Genomic DNA, 24,308 nt, shown 5'->3' on the forward strand with positions numbered 1-24,308 from the left:
GTAACCATACAGTGTGGACAGGAGAATACCCAGATATTTTTAGGGCTGTTAGATACAGAGCATGAATTAATGCACACACCCCGGGATCCTGTTACAGTAGTGTTATGTAAAGATCTAGTAATAAAGGGACTCTTGGCCCTTATCCAACTCAAAGTGGGTCCACCTGTGGTGGTTTCTGTCTCTCAGTAATTTCTGTCTAAGTCTGAAGGCCTGAGAACCAAGACAGTAGATGGCGTGAGTTCCAGTCCAAAAACCATAGGCTCAACACCCAAGAAGAGCTGAGGTTTCCATTCAAGCCCAAAGGCAGAAAAAGACTAATGCCCCAGCTCAAGCAGTCACACAGGAGGAGTTCCTGCCTACTTGCAGGAGGTTCAGCTCTTCTGTTTATTTAGGCCTTAAACAAATTGGAGCAGGGCCACCCACATTAGGGAGGGCACTCTGCTTTGCTCAGTTTACTATTTCAAATGTTAATCTCATCCAGAAACACCCTCACAGACACACCCAGAGTAATGTTTGACCAAACGTCTTGGTACCCCATGTCCCGGTCAAGGAGCTAACACATAAAATCAACCATTGCAGTCACCCAGCTGCTAAGTGGCAGATCCAGGATCTGAATTTCACAGTCAGATGGATATGAAGACCTTAAGATAAGATCTTCAGAAATATCTGGGCTAGAGAGAGAGAGACATTTGGGAGTCATCAACACATTGGTGGTAACTGATGCCATGGGAGTAAATGAGATAACAAAAGAGAAGATGTAGTTTGAAAAGAGAAGATGTCATAGAACAAAAACCCAAAGATTATCAGCATTCAAGTGATGGGCTGAAAAAAAGACCCAGGGCAGAACAGCCAGAGTAGAAGGAAATCTAGGAGAGAAACTAAGAGAACAAGGGTTGTTCTGAGGAAGAGGGGTTTGTCTGCAGGGTTCAATAGGACTCACATGTGGGGAGGGCTACAAAGTGTGCTTGGTATAAACGACTTTGGTGAGGCCATTCCAGTGGTTGGGGTGGAAGTGACATTGCAGTGACTGAGGAACCAGAGACAGGAGAGTAAGTCAAGCTTGGAAGGGTCTATGAGTTTCAAATTGGGTTTGTGAAGGGGAGTCAAGAGAGGGCTGAGAGCTGAAGGGAGACATTAGGGGAGGCTTATCAGTTAGCTTTTCAGGTGGAGAGACTTCAGCATCTTGAATTACCAGCCTGTCATTCCATGGAGAGAATCTCCAGGAAATGAGATAAGCCCACTCCCTCCTCAGGCTGATTATTTTGGCTCTCCAGGCGTCATTTGTATGACAGCCTACTTCACCATACTGTTGAGAGTAAGGCAGAAATGTACGTGGAGGCACCCTGTTGATAATCACCATTACTTCCAAAAGGAAAGGCAAAGGAGATGGCTGAATTAAAGATGACTCCAAGTTTTCAAAACGGAGCATCTGGGAAGCAGCAGTGTGGAAATCCTGGCAGGACGGGCTGAGAGCAGGAAGGACAACAAGGCTAGTTCACGCAGGCTGATGCTGGGGTCGCGGTAGGGCATCAAAAGTGGAAACACTGAGCAGATACATAGAGATGGGCACAGAATGTGGGAGAGAAGCCAGGATGGGCTGTGCACAGTGGCTCATGCCTCTAATCCTAGCAATTTGGGAGGCTGAGGCAGGAGGAATGCTTAAGGCCAGGAGTTGGAGACCAGCCTGGTCAACATAGTGAGACTCTGTCTGTACAAAAAATAAACTTAAAAAAAAAATAACTGAGCATGGTGGTGCACACTTGTAGTCCCAGCTACTTGGGAGGCTGAGATGGTGCACACTTGCAGTCCCAGCTACTTGGGAGGCTGAGGTGGGAGGATTGCTTGAGCCTAGGAGTTTGAGGCTGCAGTGAGCTATGATCGTACCACTGCACTCCAGTCTGTGTGACAGAGCATAACCATTTCTCAAAAAAAGGATGGAGGAGAGCTGGCATGCTGCACTTGAGGTGAGTAGCAAGTCAATATGGGGTTGTGTCATCTTTTGCAAAGTCATTCAAGAACACCTAGAACCTCCATGCATTTAGCAATTCCCTTGTGCCAAGCCTTTTACCTACAGTATCTTCAAACTTCATTGAACGTTTGGATGTTTGTCCCTTCCAAATCTCACACTGAAAGCTTATCCCCAGTGCTGGAGGTGGGGCCCAGTGGGGGGTGATTGGATCATTGGGGTGGACTCCTCATGAATGGCTTAGCACTATCCTCTTGGTGATGAGGGAGTTCTTATGAGATCTGGTTATTTCAAAGGGTGTAACACCTCCCCCCACCTCTTGCTTCCTCTCTCGTCATGTGACATTTCTGCTCCCCATTTGCCTTCCACCATGATTGTAAACTTCCCAAGGCCCTCTCCAGAAGCAGATGCCAGCACCACACTTCTTGTACTGTCTGCAGAACTGTGAGTCAATTAAACCTCTTTCCTTTATAATCTACTCAGGCTCAAGGTTTTCTTTATAGCAGTACAAAAAACAGCCTAACACACTTACGATCATCAGCATTTCACAGTTGAAAACACTGAGGCTCAGAGAGGTCCCCAGCTAATAAATGTTGCATCCCAGGAGCAAATACAGTTACTCTGGCTCCAAAGCCTGCATTCTTTCCACTACTTCATGCTGCTCTGAAGGATGGAATCTTAGGGTAGAACTATGTTTAGGAGATGAAAGGCAAAAGCTCCTTGGACAGAAGAACCATCAGAGGGTGTAATGTTACGGAGGCCAAGAGAAGAAAGAGTTTCAAGATGGTGGAACCGGAAACAGTGCCAGATGCCGCCAAGAGAACAGGGAAAATGAGAACTGGGAAGAGACTGCTAGATTTGGGGAGCAGATGATAATTAGCAGCTGTGGACCGTTGAAGGGGGCTGTGTTGGTGAAAATAAAGGTGTCTGCGTAGAAGCACGACCTCACCTTCTCATGTCCCCAGAATGGTACTCCTGTAGAGAAACTCCTACAGGGTCAACTCAGCCAGTGTCTGACAGTCACTGCATGTGGCTGATTGGGGAGTAAAATTCACAGCCTTCAGGCTCAAGCAGCTAACAACTTAACTGGGGACACTAGCTTTCGAATATGAAGACAACCAGAGAACACACATGGTAAAGGGAATGTGTGCCCCGACATTCCTCCCACTGCCTCAACTTCTGCCAACTTCTAGATGGGTGGGAACTGAGCTCCTGAGAGCAAGCTGGGCCAGCCATCTGTGCAGCATCTGTGCGTGACAGCGGCAGAGGCCATGGTGGCACACTGATCTCTCAGAGATCACGTGCAGCTGGAGAACTCTAAGTGGCTTCAGCAGTTAGGGGATAGGCAGGAAAAAAGTGAACCCCTAATGGACTCTGAGCAGAAATGGCCAGAGGGGAAGACAGAAAGCCAAGACTGTAGGAAGGGAAGAAGTTAGTAGCTGATTGAGCCCAAATGAGGTTCTTCTTTGTTCTCTTCTCCCACTCAACTACTCTTCTCTATTTTTTTTAGAGATGGTGTCTTGCTCTGTCACCCAGGTTGGAGTGTCACTATGATGACTCACTGTGGTCTCGAACTCCTGTGCTCAAGCACTCCTCCCACCTCAACTTCCCAAGCAGCTAGAATTACAAGCATGAACCACTGCACCTAGCCTTCTCTTCCTCTCTTAACAACCCATCTCACTCCTTCTTGCCTCAGTGGCTCATTTGTTTTTTTTTTTAAGAGACAGAGTCTCATTCTGTCACCCAGGCTGGAGTGCAGTGGCATGATCTCGGCTCACTGCAACCTCTGCCTCCCGGGTTCAAGCGATTCTCCTGCCTCAACCTCCCGAGCAGCTGGGACTACAGGGGCCTGCCACCACACTCGGCTAATTTTTGTATTTTCAGTAGAGATGGGGTTTTGCCACGTTGGCCAGGCTGGTCTCGAACTCCTGACCTCAGGTGATCTACCTGAATGGCTCACTTCTTCTTTCTCATTCCCTCCAGCCACAAATCCAGCCCTATATCCTCTTTATTGCTTCATTTTCTAAAATGGCCAGGCCAGCGAGTGTCATCCATGTGAGGGAACTAAGTCACCAGCCTCTTCCTTCCCACTCTGCTTCTGCCTTCATCCTGCATCCTCTCACCTCCTGCTTCTCAGAAGACACACAGAATTTCTCTGCTGGACCAACCACAGGCTTGGGTGCCCCCTGCCAAAAACACCTTTAGCTGCCACAGTGCCTGAAATGCCAGCACTGTCATCAATTCCTTTGGTTTCTGTCTTAAAATATTAATATGCCTGGAAAAATAAAAAATCTTGTTTCTAACATTCTAAATAATTGTTGAGAAGACCAACTACCTCTTTGCTGTGCCTTGGGAACCTTGGCCAGCTGGGGTTGGCATCAAGAGATGGTTTAGGGAATAGGGGGAGAAGGTGGAGAGACTGATGCAAAACTTAACCCATTATGCAATTTTGTCCTGGAGTAACCTCACCCTTGGCTTGGCTTTGGGGAAAGGAGTAGTAATTCCTCTGTGGCTGAAGCTGTAGGTGTTCCAGCTGTGTCCCCTTGGCTTCCCTTAGCATTTACCTGCAGACATTTTTCAAATAACAGTGGGGACAGTCAGAAGACCAGGAGTGGTGATGCCCCGCAGAAACTAATGCAGGACAATCCTGAGGAGTGTTCTCATGGTCTCTCAGAGTGCTCCAGCAATAACCCATTCAATAATGTACCTTTTATTGCTCACTGCTCAGAGCGCTTTCTGTATCACCTCTGAAAAATACGACTCATGCCCAGATTCTTGTTTCACATTTTGTTTCAAGGGGAATCCAAACTCAAACACCATATATAAGGGACCTTTCCCTTTGATTCCTACTACTCATAGGGGAGAAAATAAAGCCCACTGGCTCCTAAAAAATCCACTGACCCAGATTACAGGAATGTGCATTGAAAGTTTAAATGCATATACCCTTAGACCCAGAATCCTAGAAGTTTACCTAAGAAAATTAGCACACTGGTTGTGCAAAACTGTCTAAGGATGCATATCATCACATAGAAGGGTAATATTGGGAAGCCACTTAATGTCCAGCAATACCAAATAGGTTAATCATGGTATATCCCGTGTTGCCATTAGAAATGATGATATAGGCCAGGCGCGGTGGCTCATGCCTGTAATCCCAGCACTTTGGGAAGCCAAGGCGGGTGGATCACCTGAAGTCGGGAGTTCAAGAGCAGTCTGACCAACATGGTGAAACCCTGTCTCTACTAAAAATACAAAATTAGCCGGGCATGGTGGCGCATGCCTGTAATCCCAGCTACTTGGGAGGCTGAGGCTTGAACCTGGGAGGCGGAGGTTGCGGTGAGCCGAGATCGCGCCACTACACTCCAGCCTGGGCAACAAGAGTGAAACTCTGTCTCAAAAAAAAGGAAAAGAAAAAAAAGAAATGATGATACAGATTTTTAGACAGCTTTGCATGTCTGTGGTGCTTATATAAATACACCTACATACATATAGCTACATGTGCACATGAAGAATCTGGAAGAATGACAACGAAATGTTAACAATAGTTATGTCTGGGAAGAAGGATTGGGGGTTGTGGATCACTTTCCTTTTCTTCTTTACACCTTTCTGAATTGGAATATATACATATATAACTTGGGACTTTAAAATTTTTGAAACTTGAAAAAAAATTGTAATTAGAAATCAATGGCCTCGGCGCCAGAGAACTGAATTTCATAGCTCAAACTCGTTCTCCCAACAGGAGCTATTGGTCTCACCACCAAGGGGAGGTTGGAACAGACCCACAGAAGGGAACTGTCCCACTTAGCCAGGCAGTGGCTGTTCTAAGCAAGTCAGCAAACACATCTGCCAACTGGCAGCCATGGGAGAGCATGTCATGTCACGTGTCCAGCATGTGTGGCCCCATCTGACTCAGAGGCAACACGCACAGCTCTGGCGCCATAATCAGGGTCGCGGGTTGGGATCAGCTGTGCCTCCCCATCCCCACCCCCTACAGACCACCTCCCCTTACCCTGCCTGCCTGGAGCCCCAGCTGGCTCTTGGAAGGTCCCTTTCCAATTTGCTCCACATTCGGGAGTTTCTTATTCCCACGGGAAGAACTCGTTGCCATGGCGATGTGCGCCTCCCAACCCTGAAGCCCGCCCTGGAAGCGAAATCCTTGCCTGGGCTCCCAGGCTGAGCCGGAGGACCCCGGGGGTTCACCTAGCCCTCTGGGATAAGGGGCTTTAGTCTCTATATTCTTTGGGCTTGGGGGTTGGGGACAGTGGGAGGATTAATTATGGAGGCAAGGTCAGAGGAAAAGGGAAAAATGGGAAAGATTTTATTTAAAGCCCCTGGTCATTCTTGCCTTTCCGCCCGCCCACCACGACCCCTCAAGCCAGATGCCGTCTCTAGTTCGGGAGCGTTGGATGAGGATGCCAGGCACTCTGCTTTTCCTAAACAACTTCCAAGAACCCCGGAACATTTCTTAAAGTGTCTGGAACGAAGCTTTAACCTCGCCTGCTCCATCAGCCTGGGACGGAAAAGACGCGAGGGGCGAAGAAGAGGTGGGGCACGGGGAGCCCGGGCCGTTCGGCGTAAGTGATCCAGGCTTCCAGCGCCCCGGGCGCACCCCGCGGAAAGGCGTCTGGGAGTCGGGGACGTGCGGGGGGAGACCACCCGGCCAACCCCGGGGGATGAGCTGCAAGGCTGGCCACGCCCGGCAGGAGACTGCGCGCAGAGACCCGCCCGGGGAAGCACGGGAGGAGGGAGGGCGGCCATGTACAACCCCTGGCAGGTGGGAGCCTCCCTGGCGCCAGCTCGGGCAGGGCCACGCCCCTTCCCAACTCCCCGCGCTCGGCCTCCGGACTGCTCAGGGGGCCACGCCCCTTCCGGATTCCCCGCGCTAGGCCTCCGGACCGCTCAGCGGCCCCGCCCCTTCTCGAGTTCTCCGCGCTCGGCCTCCGGACGGCTCAGGGGGCCACGCCCCGTCGCCCGGGGCCCCGCCCACTCCTCAAGCCCCACGGGACTCCCAGCCTACCTCCCTCCCGCTGCCGCACTGGACTCCCAGACCTCGGCACCAACCGTATCTCCTGTTACTCGCCCCAGGGTGGTTGCCCGGGGAAAAACTCCAAGGGTTTCACTGGCTGGCCTGGAAACCCTTTCATCTTTGCTCCATCAGCAGCAGCTCTTTGATTGAGTTCTCCTGGCTTTAGAGCCTCCCACTATGGTCATGCTGCAAATTCCCGTGGCCAGCACCCGAGGCCTGCTGGCTCCGATCTGGGCCACGTGTACAACCAGGTGTGCCCCCTTAGCCTCACGCCCTCCTCCTGTTGCCTCCCCATCCCTCTAGCCTTCGGGACTTGGGGTTGCAATGAATCTTAGGTTTTTTCCAGGAGTCTTTTATTCCTCCAGCGTCTCCGTGCGCCTGTCCGCTCCAACACCTGACATTTTCCTTCAACTCCACCCTCCCCTCCCCGAGTCCACAGACACACACCCACCCACACGCCTCTTCCCTTCCCCTCCACCCTCAGTCAGCGGCAGAGTCAGTCCATCCAATAGGCAGGAGCCCAAAAGACTGTCCACGGACAGCTGTCCTCTCGCCCAGGAGAGTGGGGCTGCACACAGCAGCAGGCCCAGGAGGAAATCGTGCTTTGATAGCCCCAGGCATCGTATTTCATCGTATTTCACAAGTGAGCCAAATGGAGAAGGGATTAGCTGTTTCACCCAATAAGCCCACATCTGTAGTTACATTCTGACTGGGATAAAATTACCCTGGTTATTAATCCTTCTGCTTTAGGGCATAAGCTGATCACCAGCTGGGGTCAGGAAAAAACTCCACCCCAGCTCCTTCCAACTTGCTCCCCCATCCTCAGCTGCTCCATTTCCTGTGGTCTATTCTTGCACAGTTAGGTCTACAAGCCAGGTTCAAGGCCACCAACTGAGGCACCTGTCCCGAGACAGGACCATTCTAATCTGCCCTGAAAAGGACATCCCATTGATCATGTAAGTATGTACTGAGAATCTACTGTGGGCAAGACATTGGTCTTCGCTGTGGGAGATACAAAAACCATTCAGGCATGGCCCTTGCCTTTTTCATGCCAAGAAAAGCTGAAGTGTGTGGTCAGAAATTGCATGTGGTTTCTGGGACTTACTGCCCTGAAGCACCCTGGGTGTATCGGATGGCCTCAGGGAACACAGTTTGGGTATGGGCAGTATTTTCATGCCCATTGCCATTCCCTTCTGCCTCAAGTGTATGTGGGCTTTCCCTGCAGTCAGCCAGCAGGCCAGGCCAGGGTGGCTTTGTTTCTGTCTCTGACCCTTTCTCTTCAGACTCCAAATCTGCAGGTGCTGGAGACTTTGAAGGAGTCTCCGTTTCCCTTGGTAGAAACAAGAGGTAGGAACAAGCAGGTGGAAAGCCAGGGTTACTCCTTCCAGCCAATGGGTCTGGGGCTGCAGCACACAAAGTTGACATCCCGAAAGGCCATTTTCCTCGATCGCTTCAGACCTGGCATTGGGTGGACAGACCACATGATTCAGCATCCAAATTGGAGATCTCTCAATAACAGAAAGAGGTGCCATTGATAATTTCGTGGAACTTTCCTGAGCACACCAGGGTGTGCTCATTCTTCCTGAGGGGTCATCTCCCTTGGGCATCGTAAGAGGCACCACTGAGACACAACAGCTTTTGTCACCATTTCCCAATTGTGTCCCAAGCTCTCTGTCCTCTTCCCTGTGCTGGTCATCTCACAGTCTTCTTCTGCAGGTAGATCCCCCCTACTTCAGCCCTTCCTCCCACCTCAGCTCCTTTGTTCCCGCTGCCATGCCCAGAACAACCTATATTTCCACTCTCCAACCTTGGATCAACCCAACTGTGTTTTCACGCTACTATGTCCAGGATACTGGATGATACTAGAGATAGCCATCAGTAACATTCATTACATGAATAAGTCTGGGTTGATCCTGTGACACAGTTATGCCTTCTACCCTCTGCTGCTTCTCAACATTGCTCAGTCCTTATGTTGGTGTTCTCATTTCACATGATAGAGTTCCAAACCTTTTGTAGCCCGAATCGTCATCTATCCCCTAATTCTTGGAAAAGACCCTAACTTCACCAATAGCAACAACAATCAAAACCAACTGAACAAACAAAAAAATACTTAAGATACGAACCTCTCAGATTTTCTGAACTCTCCACCTCCAGACTAAATTTGTGGATGGATACCTATCTGTTGACCAGACCCTCCCTCTTCAATGAAAACTGCCTCTCCTTCCACTCCATCTGTGAGGCACCCTTGGATGCTGACATGTGCTTACATAGGACTTCCTGTCCACAGCCAGAATTAGCCAGAATTCACTGACCCATGGTTGGACTCCTAAAATACTCAAGATGAGAGACATGTTACTTTTCTTTACTATAGTAACTATCAAATGCATCCCATAACCTTATGTTGTAAATGTCAAATATGCACAATAAAATTTATTTGAAAAAATAAAGCTGGAAAATTGAAAGTAATGAATGTTCAGTTAAAATCTGCAAACAAGCTAATAAATAAATACTCAAGATGGCCCAGTGACAGCCTTTCTCTAGAGTTTTTGATTTGAGGCCAAGAAGGTTAGTGCAGCCTTTCTCCCATGGCTGTCACTGTGAAGATAAACATTTGGGAATTGATGGCAGCCTTGTTTCTCCACCAGGCTGAAGAAACTAGGACCTGCGGGGGCTGAGACTGGAGTGAAACAGATGTGAAGAGAAAAGTCCTGGGTCCAGGTGGTCCTGGGGCCCAGCCATGCTCTTGTTTTTTTTTTTTTGTTTGTTTTTTGTTTGTTTGTTTGTTTGTTTTGTTTTAATAGATTTAAATTGGTTCCTGCCAGGTACAGTCAAAGGCCTTTTTACCTGCTTCTCAGAGAATTTCCCTCCGCCTGCCTGTGGCTAATTCCTTCTCCTGCACCCTTGGTTCAGCCTCACCTGGCGACCCTTGTTCCATCACTTCCACCACTTCTCTAGAATCTTCAGTCATTTCAGCAATACATATGTTCATCTTCCTGCCCAAAAACTGAATAAGCAAAGACTTTCTTTCATCTCTGACCCTCTTCAACTTCTGCCCTTCCCTTCTACTCACTATCTCTATTTTCTCACCTCCTACTTAATGCCCAATCTGCTGCTGCTATCTTGCTCCATTTCTTCTTCCCATTTTCCTGAGGCTACTCTCTTGACAGGGAGTGCATTGCAGAATATGTCCAATTTCTTGTGTTTATGTTACTTGTCTGCAGCATCTGGCATCAGTAACCACCTCCTCTTTCTCAAAACTCCCACTGCACTTGATGGTTTTCCTGCTGGTTCTTGACCTGATGCAGAAAAGCTTGACCTGCAGAAGCTGTACTAGAAGCAATCAGGATCTAAAGCTCTAGACTTTTCCAACCTGCCTCTCATTGCCATAAAAATGCAACTGGCCTGTGTCTCCTCTCCTGGTGCACTGCTAAGGGAGGGCTGACTGATCTAATGAGATTACTGGAGCTAAGGCATTCACAGGTGAGTTATTTTGATATTTTAATAACAGCTCTCAAGACTTAGCTCAGTATCTCTCAAAGTTGGATTACAGTGGAAGGGAGTGGTGGGGAGCCGGTATAGGATGGAAGAAAGGGTTGAGAATATATTGTTGAGAGTCTAAGAGTTTTTGAGACATTTAATTTTTGTATTTTCACTTTAATGTTAATCAGTGCTTGATCATGCATTTTAATTTGCCATTCCACTGGCACCCAAGTAATCACCAACTTTTGGTGCAATATTTCAAAACTGGGGTGTAATCTCAAAGATTCAGATAATTTTTTTCTTCTAACATGAATTGCTTTGTTCCTCAAATTGGGAAGTACTAACTTAAGTACTTAAGGCATTGTAGGAATGCGAGTGTTGTCTATGTATCTGGCAGCATCAAGAGGAGAGACACAGAAATGTAAGACCTAAGTCCTGCCTTCAAAAACCCACATGCTCATTGGAAAAACAACACAGAAACACTTAAAAAATGAAATTCAAGCATGAAGTAACAGCGTGAGGTATGTCACAAAGTGGTATGTTATTATTTTTTTTTATGAGGTGGAATCTCACACTGTCACTCAGGCTGGAGTGCAATGGCATGATCTCGGTTCACTGCAACCTCCACCTCCCAGGTTCAAGTGATTCTCCTGCCTCAGCCTCCTGAGTAGCTGGGATTACAGGCGCCCACCACCATGCCCAGCTAATTTTTGTATTTTTTTATTAGAGACGGGGTTTCACCATCTTGGTCAGGCTGGTCTCGAACTCCTGACCTGGTGATCTGCCTGCCTCGGCCTCCCAAAGTGCTGGGATTACAGGCATGAGCCACCGCGCCCAGCCAGTGGCATGTTATTAAGAGATGTGGATACCAGTTTCTCCAGGAGATCACAGAGCTTTCCCTGTAGGAGTAATCAATGGAGGCATCCTTGTTGGGGAAGGGTCTTGGTGGTAGATGCTGGTCTGAAAATTGACCAAGGCCTTAAGTAAAAGTTAGGAGCTGTATTTCCAGAGTAGAAAAAGAGAGAGACAGAGAGAGAGAGAGAGGGAGATTCTAGGCGTGAAGAAAGCCCAAGAGCTCACAAAATCTTGAGCTTGGGATAGAAATCAGACTGGACCAAGTGGAGGGTTATAGTGGACAGTGCTCATTTAACAAAATATTTTGTTTATAAATTTATTATTTGATGTTTTAAAAACGTATCAAGAAAACATTATGGGCAAAATCAGAACACAGTTGGACTTCCTTACATTTATGTTATTTTTTTTCCTTTTTTCAATTGATACACATATTTGTACATATTTATGGAGTACATGTGATATTTTGTTACATGCATGGAATGTGGAATGATCAAGTCAAGGTATTTAGGGTAGACATCACCTCAAGTATTTATCATTTTTATATGTTGGGAACATGTCAAGTTCTCTCTTCTAGCTATTTTGAACTAGACAATACGTTGTTACTGACTATAGCACCCCACTGTGGTATAGAACATTAGAACTTATTCCTCCTATCTAACTGTATGTACCCACCAACTAAGCACTCTCTTAATCCCCTTCCCCACCAGCACACCTTCGCAGCATCTGGTATCTATCATTCTCCTCTCTACCTCCATAAGATCAACTTTTTTTAGCTTCCATATATGAGTGAGAACTTGCAATGTTTGTCTTTCTCTGACAGCCTTATTTCACTTAACATAATGACCTCCAGTTCCATTCATGTTGCTACAAATGACAAGATTTTATTCCTTTTTTATGGCCAAATAGTATTCTATTTGTGTATTTATATCACATTTTTAATCCATTTGTCCATTGATGGACACTTAGGTTGATCCCCTATCTTTGCTATTGTGAATAGTGCTGTCGTAAACTGAGAGCACAGGTATGCTGTGATGTACTGAACTCCTTTCCTTTAGAAAAATACCCCATAGTGGGATTGCTGGGTCATATGGTAGTTCTATTTTTAGTTTTTTGAGAAATCTCCGTACTGTTTTCCATAATGGCTGTACTAATTTAGATTCTCACCAACAGATCCTTGCCAGCATCTGTTACTATTTTTTTTTTGTCTTTTTAATAGTAGCCATTCTAACAGGGGTAAGAAAATGTCTCATTGTGGATTTCGATTTGCATTTCCCTGATGATTAGTGATGTTGAGCATTTTTTCATGTACCTGTTGGCCATTTGTATGTCTTCTTTTGAGAAATGTCTATTCATGTCCTTTGCTCACTTTTTAATGGGATTATATGGGTTTTTTTTCAACTGTTGGGTTGTTTGAGTTCCTTGTACATTCTGGATATTAGTCCTTTGTCACATTAATAGTTTGCAAATATTTTCTCCAATTCACCAGGCTGTCTCTTCACACTGTTGATTGTGTGTAGATGCTGTGCAGAAGCTATTTAGTTCAACATAGTCCCATTTGTCTAGTGTTGTTTTTGTTGCCTATGCTTGTGATCCTGTTTTATATTTATGGAGGATAGAGGTGAGACATCATAATCATATCAGTGTTAAGGACCTTGAAAGGTTGAATGCAGATCTTTAGTAGCACATAAAGCTGGGACTATATTTTGGAAGACTTGAATTCCAAGTGAAGCAGTTGGACCTTGCATATCTTGATGTGCAAAGGGCTTTGAGGACAATGACTACCTCAAGTTCTCTGGGTCTCTGGAGAAAAATATTTCTGATTTTACATACCTAGTCTAATATTGGATTTCGTATCTTTTACTGCATAGTGTACATTTTAAAAACTACATATGTAAGAGTTTTCTGGTGGTAGAAATTATGCCTCTTTGTTTCATTACTCTTGTTCATTGGTATTAGTTGGAAGAGATAATGTCCCTTTAAGTGCAAACCCTCCCTTGAAGAATAAATCCTAAAACAACTGGTGATGTTTATTGCTTCTATTAGCTTGATAATCTTAAGACAATCTTGATGCCATTTACACAACTTTTTCATTCCTCCATGTTACCGGGACACTACTTAGCCATTATGGGTTGTTACATTGTGCTTAGGATGGTGAAGATCTGACAACATGGTGTCCTGAGTCACACATATCTGTAAAATGAGTGAATACATGAATAATTAGGAAGGATTCATGATAGGTTAAGATATTCCAAGATTGACATTGAGAGGGAGGTTGAAATAGATGATTGCGCAGCTCTCTTCCAGCTCTAAGAATTTTCCTTGTGTTGAGGAAGGCGGGGAAGAGGCCATTCAATTTTCTAATGGCAGTCTCTCAAGAGAGACTGGCTTTATCCCCTTTCCCTAGAGTTTTCTTAAAAAGATACCACCACCCTTCTTAGTAGTATATTTCAGTTTCTCCACCTTCAGAGAAAAAATTTTTTCTAATGGCCAACTCAACTCCCTCAAACCACAGTTTAAGCCCATCCTATCTGCCTGGTTCTTCAATGACAACAATTCATCTCAGGGTCATGGTAAGACTACAGATGCTCTTCCGCTTACAATGGGGTCACCTCATAATAAACCCATCACAAGTTGAAAACACTCTAAGTAGAAAATGCATGTAGTAGATCTAACCTACTGAACATCATAGCAGAGCCTAGCCTACCTTAAACATGCTGAGAACACTTCCATTAGCCCACAGTTAGGCAAGGTCATCTAACACAAAGTCTATTTTATAAGAAAATGTTGAATATCTCATATAACTTATTGAATACAGTACATTGTAGAATACAGTATTGGTCATTTACCCTGATGATCGCATGGCTAACTGGGAGCTGTGCTCACCGCCACTGCCCAGCATCAAGAGAGGGTACCACGCCACATATCGCTAGCCTGGGAAAAGATCAAAAATCAAAATTTAAGTACAATTTCTACTGAATGCATATTGTTTTTGCACCATTGTAATGTCAAAAAATGTAAGTCAGGACTGTGTATTGCTAAAGCCAACCTAAGATTAAAATCCACAGAAGGACTTGATGGAGAGGAAGGGGAGGCATTTACAGAAAAGCCATTCAAGGTGATGCGGTTCTGCAGGAGGCTGAGGAGCCCCAGGGATTCACTAAGAAACAGTAATCACATTGAGCACCGCAGATCGCCAGGCTGGCGTCACTGCCCAGAGCATGGCCCGAATGAAGGTGGATTGCTTCAATTATCTGGGCATCTTGATGAATGGGCACTGCACACACTCTGGGGGAGATGGGAGGAAATGAGCCAGAGATTAATCACTTATGGCATCAATGAATGAAGAGTGTTTAGAGTCTGTGGTAGCCAGAGGGACAACAGGTTCACAAAAGCAGAGAGGAACCTAGAGTAATCGGGCCACCATTAGGAAAAAAAGTGGGCAAATATAACACCGAGACCCATCTTTGTTAGGCTGATTTGCATAAGGGTAGTGACAATTGAAGTAGCCCAGGTAGGGATGAACAGTGGAGTTCAGTCCTGGGAAGTACCCAGGCTAGAGTATGGTCAAGGTCTGGGAGCCCCAAAGGTAACCCCAAACCAGAGAAGGAGGGTCTCAGAGGCAAAAAGAGGAAGATACCAAAAATAGGGTAAGAATGGGAAATGAGAATGAATACAAGCAGCCTCCTGAGGGTTTCTAGAAGATAAAGCAGTGTGCAATCCCCAGCCTTTCCCAGAATTTCAACAACTGCTCATTATTAGTGGGATCTCAGTTCTTCTCTGCCCCCAAATTAGCAGGGGATGGAAGGAAAGGAAGGAAGGAAGGAGGAAAGGGAGGGAGGGCCTTAAGAAAGGGCTATGAGACGCAGCCTCACTTGGGACTGAAAGAAAATAAACCAAAGGCAGGATTTTAAACAAACACAGAGAACACAACATCAGCAATCCTAGCTGTTTGGGCTGCTGAATCCTGCAACCTTCAGCTATGGTGTGGAGACAATGGGGCAGAGGGATGCTCATTTCCCAGGTTGCTGATTGTTCAGAAACAATTCTGTGAACTTCACACAAGGAGATTTTGTTCGGAATAATAACGTTAAAAACCATTGAGAAATGGAAGGGGAACATGAATAGGAAAATAATGGTTAGATGACCTCACAGGAATGCATACCAAATGATATGGCTCACATGCAGAGAGGTGGCACTCGATTTTGACTCTAAGCTACCTAGCAGCATAAGCAATAAGGAAAATAGTTGCCAGAGCCTTCCTGTCCACAGGACAAAAACGAAGCCCTTGTTCAGAGGAAGCACAGCTTTTTCAGAGGCTGAAACCTTGGATATTTTTTTCTGGGCCAGTCTCCTCAAGAGCATCCTGCAGTGCTACAGTCAGGAAATTTCATGTTTATGTCTTTGGACTCCACGCTGGTGATTTCAGACCCACAGCAGTAGCAATGGCAGCATTCCCGGAGGGAAAGGAACCCAAAGGTATCACTGATACCCTGCCGGACAGAGGGGCTTTTATGGCTGCTACCATTACTGCCACTTCCTCAGAACCAAGTCCCAGAATCAGAGGAGTAGCAGTGGATTCCAAAATGAAATGCCACCTATGTGGTGCCACTGTGGGAGATCTTGTTCCCAACACATAGCTTCAGCCACCCCATGGCCCAAGTCAACCCAACACACCCCGGCACAGGAAGGATCCAATCACCTGGGAGAAAGCCCTGAATGAACCAAAGAATAACCCAGGGAAGAAACAGGTAGAAAGTAACAAAACACCCCTGAGATATTAGAAATGTCAACTCAAGAAAAGCAGCCACTAATGGTTGTAACAAAAGAAAGCAATAAGAGAAAAGGACCTGGCAGCTCCTTTCTAGATGGACGCTGGATGTATTTGTCTCCTGTGCTTCTGCCTTTGGGTAGAGAAATGCAGAAATGCAGTGCCTCAGTGGCTGGTTAGCTGGTTAGATGATGGCCCATTTTTCAGGGATTCTGGACAGGGTCCTACAGACGTTAGTGTTCAGATTTTGACTTGGACTCAATTAACCTGGGCTGAACATTTTACGTACACAGGACTGTCCTGGGTGAGCCACATGTACCAGTTTACTAATACGAAAATGGGCATTTTTATTATTCTCATTTTAAAGTTAGGAAATAGGCTCAAAGAGAGAGAGGCCTGGGAAGTACACTGTCATTAACTGTTACATTGCCATGGCCCCTGCTGTTGCTGTTGCTGCTGCTGCTGCTGTAAGTACAGAATCATCCACTCTCTTCATTTCCCTGGTTGATGGAGACAAGTTTGGCTGTGGCTCCCTTTAATAGCCCCCTTATAATTCAAAGGAAAAAAGACTTGGCCAAGCATAAACACACCTTTCAAAACAAATATATTGAACTAGATCACTAGATCATGAAAATGTCCATAAATTACTGCACCACAATAAGTAACTGTCTCTCCTTCCCTCTTTCCTTTCCTCCTTTGCTCCTTCCTTCCAGCCCAGGTGTCTGTGAAGTATTTACAGTAGATACAGTGTCCCCTGACCAGGCCATGAGGGGTTTGAAGCTGAGAATTACACAGTTCCTGCTCTCAAGAGCTCACACTCTGCTGGGGAGACAGAATATGTTGGGTGATTTCCACACACTTAGTGAAGTGCTGGCACAGGAGGCTGTAGGGTCAAGGAGAAATATAGCAAACAGACATGAGACAGGGCCTGGGGAAGGAGATGCTGTGGGAGTAACCAGAGGCCAGGGTGGAAGGCCCAAGAGTTTTGGCTGGTTCCAGTAGGGAGAGATTTTGTCTAGAGATATTTTTGGTTGATGCAATTCGGTATGTAGGTGAGGACCAAGGGAGTGCTACCAGCATCTAGTGGAAAGAGGTCGGAGATATTGCTAAACATCTTACAATGCACAGGACTGCCCCCAACAACAAAGAATTATCCAACTTGGAATGTCCAAAGTTGAGAACCCCTGCCCTGGAGTCGGGAGGAGCCCCTGAAGCTTCTAGGCAGGGCAGTGAAAGAGTCAGATGTATTTTCAGATGTCTTGTCAATATTGGAGAAATTAGGAAACTGCTGTTTCTTTCAAGTGGAATTTGTCTAAGGGATGGCTGTTGGAGCCAGTGAGCTGAGGGTCTGGAGGGTGAGAATTCCACCCAAAGGAGCGTGGTGCCATGGCAAGTCCTGAACCAGGCATCAGGAGTCCCGGCCGGACTTCAGCTCCTCCAGCCACAGGCTGGGTGACCATGGGCAGGCATGACAACTCCCTGAGCCTCCCTTTCCTCATCTACAAAATAAAGCACAAGAACATATACTGTTCTGGCCTTATTCCTGTGTTACTGTGATACCAAATACAATCATATTTATGAAAGACAGTGAGAAAACATGGATGAATGATATTATTGTACTATAAAGAGCATCTTTTAAGCAATTATACAATGAATATAGGCTAATTATAGCAAAGGAGAAAATACAGTTAAGCAAAAAGAGAACAATAAAACTCACCCATCAGCCATCCATCCCTTCACCATCCAGAAGAAACACTTAACATTTAATTGTATATTGTTAGCTTTCCAGGCTTGTGTGTATGTGTGTGTGTAATTTTTCATTTAAAAATCAGATTATGCTTTCCCCACAAATAGGCATTACAAATAGCATGTCACATCACTAAATTGTTTCTACACTATTATTTTGACACAGAGTGTCCTCTGTTGTTAGATTGTTGTGTCATTTTCAAATGTCCCACATTGCCAAACATTGCTGGGAGTTACATCTCCTTATGGGTTTTAATTAAATTAAAGTGAAAGATGTGGAGCTGAGAAATGCCTTACATTGGGGCACACAGCACAGCCAGCACCCAGACCTGGCCCTGTGCCCTCACGGCTGCTGGTAGGAACTGTAGGAGTAAAGAGAATTTTCCCTCCCCTCTGAAGGTTTAATCTACTGAAATAAACAGACAATCGACAGATTAACAGAAAAAGCATACAAACGTATTAATGTGCAGAAGCACAGGAGCTGTACAAAATACGAGTCTCGAGGGAAGGGTCAGATGGTTGAGGCTTAACTACCCTCTTCATAGGGAAGAGGGAAGAAAGGGGATATAGGCAATTTTGAGAAATAGTAAATGATTTGTAAGGGAATTGAATGAGCCCAAAGAACAGACAATGGCCTGGGACAGTGTTCCTCTGAGCTCTGGGGAGGTAGTGGGAAGGTAAGGGGCAGAACTGCACTGTGAACAGAGGTTGTCTTATTATGCAGATAAAGTCTCCCAGGAGTTTTCCTCAGAAGAACAGATGACATATCTATCTGGGTGTGATGACTTCAGGTCTTTTCTCTTGTGGTCACTCTTTCCTGGTTATTTGATAAGATTTCTAGGGAGGGAATCTTAAGACAGTTGTATTTCTTTTGGAAGAAGATTTTTCTCAGTCAGATAAGGGAACTTCCAGAGAGAGAGAGTCCCTCCGTGTGCTTAGGGGAGGAAGGTTAAAAGATCCTTTGTTCTGAGGCTTGAAGTCTAAGGCCTTTTGATTTCCTTCAGTTCAAAGTGCTCAGTAGCCCAAAGCACCATAGTTTGGGGTATTGTTTTCAGAATATTTATGTGGGATCCTAGATTATCAGGCAAACGAGGAGTAATAAATTCTTGCCACCTCCCCCCCTGAAGATTCAAGTTTACTGAACTAAACTGACAATAGGCAGATTAACAGGGAAAAAGGCATACACATTTATTAACTTGCGTAAGCACAGGAGCCATACAAAATGTGAGACTCAAGGAAGGGTTAGATGTTGTGCTTGTACCTTTGTCATTGTAATTTTGCTTCCTGTTTAAGAACTGGGGGAAAGGTAGGCAGGTGGTTCACCTGGAGAGGCACCTGATGCATTTCAGAAGCCCTGGATGGAAGGAGAGGGACAAGGGTTGAAAATATACTTGTCAGGTACTATGTTGACTTCTTGAGCAACAAGATCATTAGAAGCTCAAACCTCAGTATTGCACAGTATACCCATGTAACATGTACCCTGGAATCTAAAATAGAACATAAATAACTGAAAAAGCTCCACAAATGTCCCCTAAAACCCATCTCAGTAGCCCCAGCTGAGGCCACATCACCAAAGCTCAGCTAACTGAGAATGGTGTGCCTATTACTTGCTTTACTTCAGCGGTTAACCCAATGACTTAGAAGCTACAACAACATAATGACTGCAGCATCCTTCATCTAGGAAGGGGCTGAGCTGACCCAGCATTGGGGTGGATTGACACTGCTCCACCCACACTCTCTGGACCACTTTCCCTTGTGGCTGATGGCAGAGGGCTGGAAGATGGAGGCCCCCATTGGCCTCATGTTAGGACTCAAGAAACTTGTAGTTCATCTGTCCCAGAGACAAATTTGAAATACGATAGAAGCTCCATTGCAGTACTCTGTGGGCCAGCAAAACAACAACAGCAACAACAAAACAGCAATCACCCAAATGTCCAAAACAAAATGGGGGACTCTTATCTAGGATACATTGATTTCCTAGAATATCAATTTCTCATTTTAAATGATAATTGTTAAGACTATACAACCACATCTAAAATTCTTATGAAATCTTATTTTCATACTAAGACAAACAAGGCACACAATTTTATAGAGAATAAAACTACTACTGTGTTTAAAATTGCATTTGTATATGAAAAGGGAAATAGTTGCAGCAGCTCTATTAGGTGGAATGGGGAGACTTTTTCCTCTTTTTTTCTAAATGTTCTGTAATGTGGTTATGATTGCACAGTGACTGTAAGTGTGTTTGTGTATGTGTTTGTGTAAATGTGCAAGGAGCTAAGTTCTGGGTCCTCTCTTTGCACATCCACACCCTGTGGGCTCGGTACTTGTCTCCTTCAGACCAGCACTGAGGGCTGGGCACCTACCCCAGATCCCAATCCTGCCCTCCCATTAGCAAGGCATCCCAGGGAAGAGATACAGAAAAACAGGCAGGGAGGAAGAGGGAGGGGACATAGGGACATGGAACAAGGGAGGGGCAGAGAAAGAATGGAGGTGGAGGCTGAGGGGAGGGGAGCAGCTGGGCCTCACCAGGGGTGTCACTCAGTTGAGGAGGTGACCAGGGAAGTCCCAGCAAGGAGCAGTATGTCCCCAAGAAGCCTGCTTATGCTGTCCTCGGAGATCACACCTGGCCTGACAGTCCCAAGATTGAAATACTGAAATTTTCTCCCTGTAGCGGCAGCTCAGAGACCAATGCAGAAGTGAATACCCAACTGGGTTCCATAACTCCTACTGGGGTAAACCACTCCAGTTTCACAGACACAGCTGGGACCACCCCAGGCTAGTCCTGATTTCCTGAGGTCCTCTGTCCACCAGAGGCCCCTGTGCCCTCCACCTGGATCCAGACCAGGCAGGAAGAGCAGGGAATCTTCTGAAGGCCAATGTCTGCATGCTGGGAGCCCTTAGCTGAATCTAATGAACTCTAGAATCTTCCCACTCACTTGGACACAACTGCTTGGGAGGCCCCCACACCAGCTCCAAGAGGCCCCTCTCTGCAGGTGGGCCCTGAGGTGGGCAGGGTGGATGGGGAAAGCATTGTTCCCTTGGCTCCAACTTGGGCTGGCATTTCTGGAAGTTGGTGTGTGGACGGGTGTGTGTGTGTGTGTGTGTGTGTGTGTGTGTGTGTTTGTGTGTGTGTGTGTGTTTGTGTGTGTGTGTGTGTGTGTTGGGGGGGTCCTAGCCTCCAGGTCCCTCCCCAGAGTCCAGACCCATCAGGCAGTGGTGAGGTTGGCTCTGGGGTGCTGGGCAGGGGGTGTGGGGCCCTGGAGCCTCCGCCCTCTTCCTCCCTCCCACTCAGCCTCTCTGCGGCTTGCACCCCTATCCCTGTGTCTCCACTCTCCCACTTCCCTCTCAGTTCCTCTCTGGCCATTGTGGCTCACTGATGATCACCTTCTGATGTGCTGATGTTCATGTACTTGGACTCTCTCCTCCTCTGTCTTTGCTTTGTTGCCATCTATTGGCACCTGTGTCTGTGTCTCCCTCACTATGAACTTTGTGTCCATCCTGGCCCCACTCAGGTTTCTCTGGGAACCCAGGGCCTCCCAGTCGGAGTGAGCAAGGCCCACCTCCCACCCTTCCTGCAGGGCCAGGCCCTGTCCCTGCTCCTACCCAGCCTCTCCTCCCCCCAACTCTCTCCATGAGGTGCTCGAGGGTCATGCTGGGCTTCCAGCAGGTCACAGAAGGACACCAAGGAGGAGGCCGCCATGTGCCCATGCTTGCTGCAGAGGGACAGGCGCAGGGGCTGCTCTCACAGCCGGTGCACTCTGCACTTGTCTTCTTCAGGCCAGCACCAGGGACTGGGCACCTACCCCAGATGGACTCCTGCCATCCCAGGAACAAGACCTCCTGGGAAGGAGAGCAGAAAATAAGGCAGGGGAGGAAGCGGGAGGCAAGATAGGGACATGGGACATGGGCAGAGCTGGGAAAGAACAGAAAATGATTTTGCATCTGTGGAAAGATGCTGCCTGGCCAGCGGGATGGTGTGGATAGGCCCATGTGTTGCTGCCAAGCCCTGCTCCCCTGGGTGATTAACAGAAACGAGGCAGTGGGGAGGAGGGAAAGAGAAAAATGCCTTCTACCTCCATGTGTCCCGAGTTTGAGCCCCGCGCCGGCTTGAATGGCCCAGACACTGGGGAGGAGGTTCAGCATGGGAGCATCCCCATGCTGAAATAAAGCTCCAGGAATCCAGGCCTGGGTTTTGGGGTTCAGACAGTATGTGTTTTTCTTACCACAAGCCAGAACCATGATCCCTCTGGAAAAGGTCGACTCCACAGCTGTTTAAAAATCCCCTGGGACTTGGAGATAAATGATCTGAGTCAGGCTGTGCTAACAGCTCCGTTTTGGAGCCAAGCAGGAGGTGGGCCACCGCTCCGTCCTCAGGCCCATCCATCACTGCGCGGCCACAATCTCAGGGGCCACCAGCCTCTCTGACCATGCTGTTTCCATTAGAGCATGATTGTGAAACTTTCAGAAGAGAGAGGCTGGCAAAGAACTCAGGCCAGGAGAGCCGCCCGGCCCACACCAGGGCAGAAGGCTTTCAAGGTCTCACCCTTGCCCCTCATGGGTGGGGCTGGGCTGGTTTTCCGCCAGATGGTCCCTGTGGAGATGCAGGAACATTCCCTAACCCGGGAGCCACCTCGGAGGGGAGGGAGAAGAGGGAGAGCTCACCTAGATGGCTCCACGCACCTGTCCCGGCCCGGCTTCCACTGGGCTTAACACATTCCCCCATGAAATCATGTGCATGCAGCCAAAGCAATACCAACAGGGAAATACTTTTTATTTTAACCTCAGGCTCTCACAACCAAAGTGGGTTTGCTCAGTGTGGTAAGGGAGTACGGTGTTTGCAGTGGCCCAGGACAACTGGGGGTGCCAGGGAGGCCCCGCACAGAGGAACATTTGGGGAGCATCAGAGACAGGAGGAAAGTGCCCCTGCAAGGGCCCACAGAGATGGGGAGCCCCCAGCTGCTGCGGCCTCTTTAGCTTGGCTAAAGAGGGATTATGCACCTGTTTAATCTGGAGAGAAACGCTGCCTGCAAGTTATGGCTGTTTTGCTCTAACACACGCCATTAACTATTCCTGGAATCCAAATGGAAAAGGAACAAAATAAACCACTTTGAAGTCCCAGGCTAGGGCTGATCTGGTGGGGGTGGGGTTCGGGTCCAGTTGGATGGTCTGGGCAGTGAGGGCTCTGGGCGGGGGCCGCCCCTTGCACTCTAATTGGGTGTGTCTGGGCACCTGTTTGTCCTGACATCTGCAGGAACTGGGGGGAGAGAAGGATGGCCTCCTGGGTGCAGCTACCGCCTACACTGGAGGAGGGAAGGAAGAGCCTCTGGCCAGGGTGTGCCTGGGTGGATTGACTTCCTGAGAGCTCAGGCCACCCCCATCTGCAGTGAGGCAGATGCTGTCACGGCACTAAATGCTGCAGATGCATGAACTCATTTAATCCTCGCAACAAACCTACAAAGTGGGTATCCTGATTGCCCCCATGTTACAGATGAGAAGACCAAGGCACAGAGAAATAAAGTGGCTTCCCTAAGGCACACAGCAAGGAAGCAGCAGGGCCAGGATTTGAACTCCCAGTCTGGCTGCAAAGTCCCTGTCCTTAACCAGGACATGCCCCTGTCTCTTTAACTGCATTTTAAAACCAGTTATTTGGCCCAAGAGATGTTCAGTAGTCATGCCCCGCCCCAGCTGGCTCTCAACCCCTGGAAGATTCCCCAAAGCCTGGGATCAGCTTTCTCTCCGGGCTAAACACCCCCTCCTGGCCCCAAATCACCCCAGCGCCTGTTTCCTGCGGTATTCCCCACCTCGGGAAGTGGAAGAGTCATGCAAAGCTTGACGGCCCCTATGAAGCAAACACAGGAAAGGCCAACGCCCCCCACCGGCCAGTCCCAGGATTTACTGAGATCATGAATAACAGGTTTCTTTAAGGCAGCTGTGAAGGCGGTACCCCCCCCAACCACCTGTCACCCCCAGCCTTGGGTGCCAATGGGAGACTCCGAGGACCAAAGGGCTGGCGTGGTGGAGTGAAACTGCCCCCTCTAACCTCTCCAAGGATCAGACACCACGTCCTGCATTTCCTTACAGCTGTCTTCCTTTCCCCAAGGCCAGAGCTAGTCTTTCTTGGAATCCTGGGAAGAGGCCTCTTTGACCCAAACTCACCCTCACCACCTGCTGAAAGTGTCCACATCATGGAACCCTCTGGAATGTGGTCTTCTTTTCTCCAAGTGACTCATCCAGCCTCCGCACTGTTACCAGAAATACCTTTCCAACACACAAATCAGATTAGGCCTCTCCCCTGCTTCAAACAATTTCAAATCTCTTGGCGCCAGCTTTCCACAGGAAACAGCCCAAATGTCTTATGATGTCCTACTAGGCCAATCCCCTGGCCTCTGCCTACTTTAGCCAGAGCAGAATGACCATCATTGTTTCCAGGCATCAATTATGCTGCCTTCCCTGCCAGTGACCCCTCA

The 24,308-nt window shown here is 47.4% G+C and overlaps 1 protein-coding gene, 1 long non-coding RNA gene and 1 pseudogene across 3 annotated transcripts, besides 3 other annotated features; 2 read left to right on the top strand and 1 right to left on the bottom strand.

Annotated features, from left to right (window-relative positions):
* Window positions 217-266: a silencer, noted in NCBI's record as "silent region_2277". NCBI's record gives its function as "represses an Ori minimal core promoter by ATAC-STARR-seq in GM12878 lymphoblastoid cells {active_cell/tissue: GM12878}" and the evidence as "EXISTENCE:reporter gene assay evidence [ECO:0000049][PMID:35858748]".
* On the top strand, window positions 6,080-9,436 carry LOC124906892 (uncharacterized). The gene is made up of 4 exons (XM_067756347.1): window positions 6,080-6,537; window positions 7,474-7,632; window positions 7,849-7,945; window positions 9,144-9,436. The coding sequence occupies exons 1-4, from the start codon at window positions 6,240-6,242 to the stop codon at window positions 9,298-9,300; spliced, it is 711 nt and encodes a 236-aa protein (XP_067612448.1). The 5' UTR covers window positions 6,080-6,239; the 3' UTR covers window positions 9,301-9,436.
* Window positions 6,252-24,191, bottom strand: LOC105376484 (uncharacterized). Of its 2 annotated transcripts, none has more exons than XR_930803.3 (3): window positions 23,998-24,191; window positions 14,171-14,255; window positions 6,252-13,514 (listed from the first exon to the last, which is right to left on the bottom strand). It is a non-coding gene; the product is annotated as an uncharacterized LOC105376484 (long non-coding RNA). The 2 variants fall into 2 exon arrangements; XR_930804.3 differs by lacking the exon at window positions 23,998-24,191 and adding an exon at window positions 17,810-17,938.
* Window positions 6,492-7,081: a silencer, noted in NCBI's record as "silent region_2278". NCBI's record gives its function as "represses an Ori minimal core promoter by ATAC-STARR-seq in GM12878 lymphoblastoid cells {active_cell/tissue: GM12878}" and the evidence as "EXISTENCE:reporter gene assay evidence [ECO:0000049][PMID:35858748]".
* Window positions 20,385-20,514: an enhancer, noted in NCBI's record as "active region_3241". NCBI's record gives its function as "activates an Ori minimal core promoter by ATAC-STARR-seq in GM12878 lymphoblastoid cells {active_cell/tissue: GM12878}" and the evidence as "EXISTENCE:reporter gene assay evidence [ECO:0000049][PMID:35858748]".
* Window positions 20,829-21,419, top strand: GLUD1P5 (glutamate dehydrogenase 1 pseudogene 5; annotated as a pseudogene).
* Window positions 24,192-24,308: the final 117 nt, after the last annotated feature.

Source organism: Homo sapiens, chromosome 10 (genome assembly GCF_000001405.40).
Source record: "Homo sapiens chromosome 10, GRCh38.p14 Primary Assembly".
NCBI lineage: Eukaryota > Metazoa > Chordata > Mammalia > Primates > Hominidae > Homo > Homo sapiens.

What these genes read in the sequence shown, in the direction of transcription:
- LOC124906892 (XM_067756347.1), top strand. Translation starts at nt 6,240, where the DNA reads ATGGAGGCAAGGTCAGAGGAAAAGGGAAAAATGGGAAAGATTTTATTT. An exon ending in GGGAGCCCGGGCCGTTCGGC is followed by an intron (nt 6,538 to 7,473) that starts GTAAGTGATCCA and finishes CTCCACCCTCAG; the next exon opens with TCAGCGGCAGAGTCAGTCCA. An exon ending in TATTTCATCGTATTTCACAA is followed by an intron (nt 7,633 to 7,848) that starts GTGAGCCAAATG and finishes ATTCTTGCACAG; the next exon opens with TTAGGTCTACAAGCCAGGTT.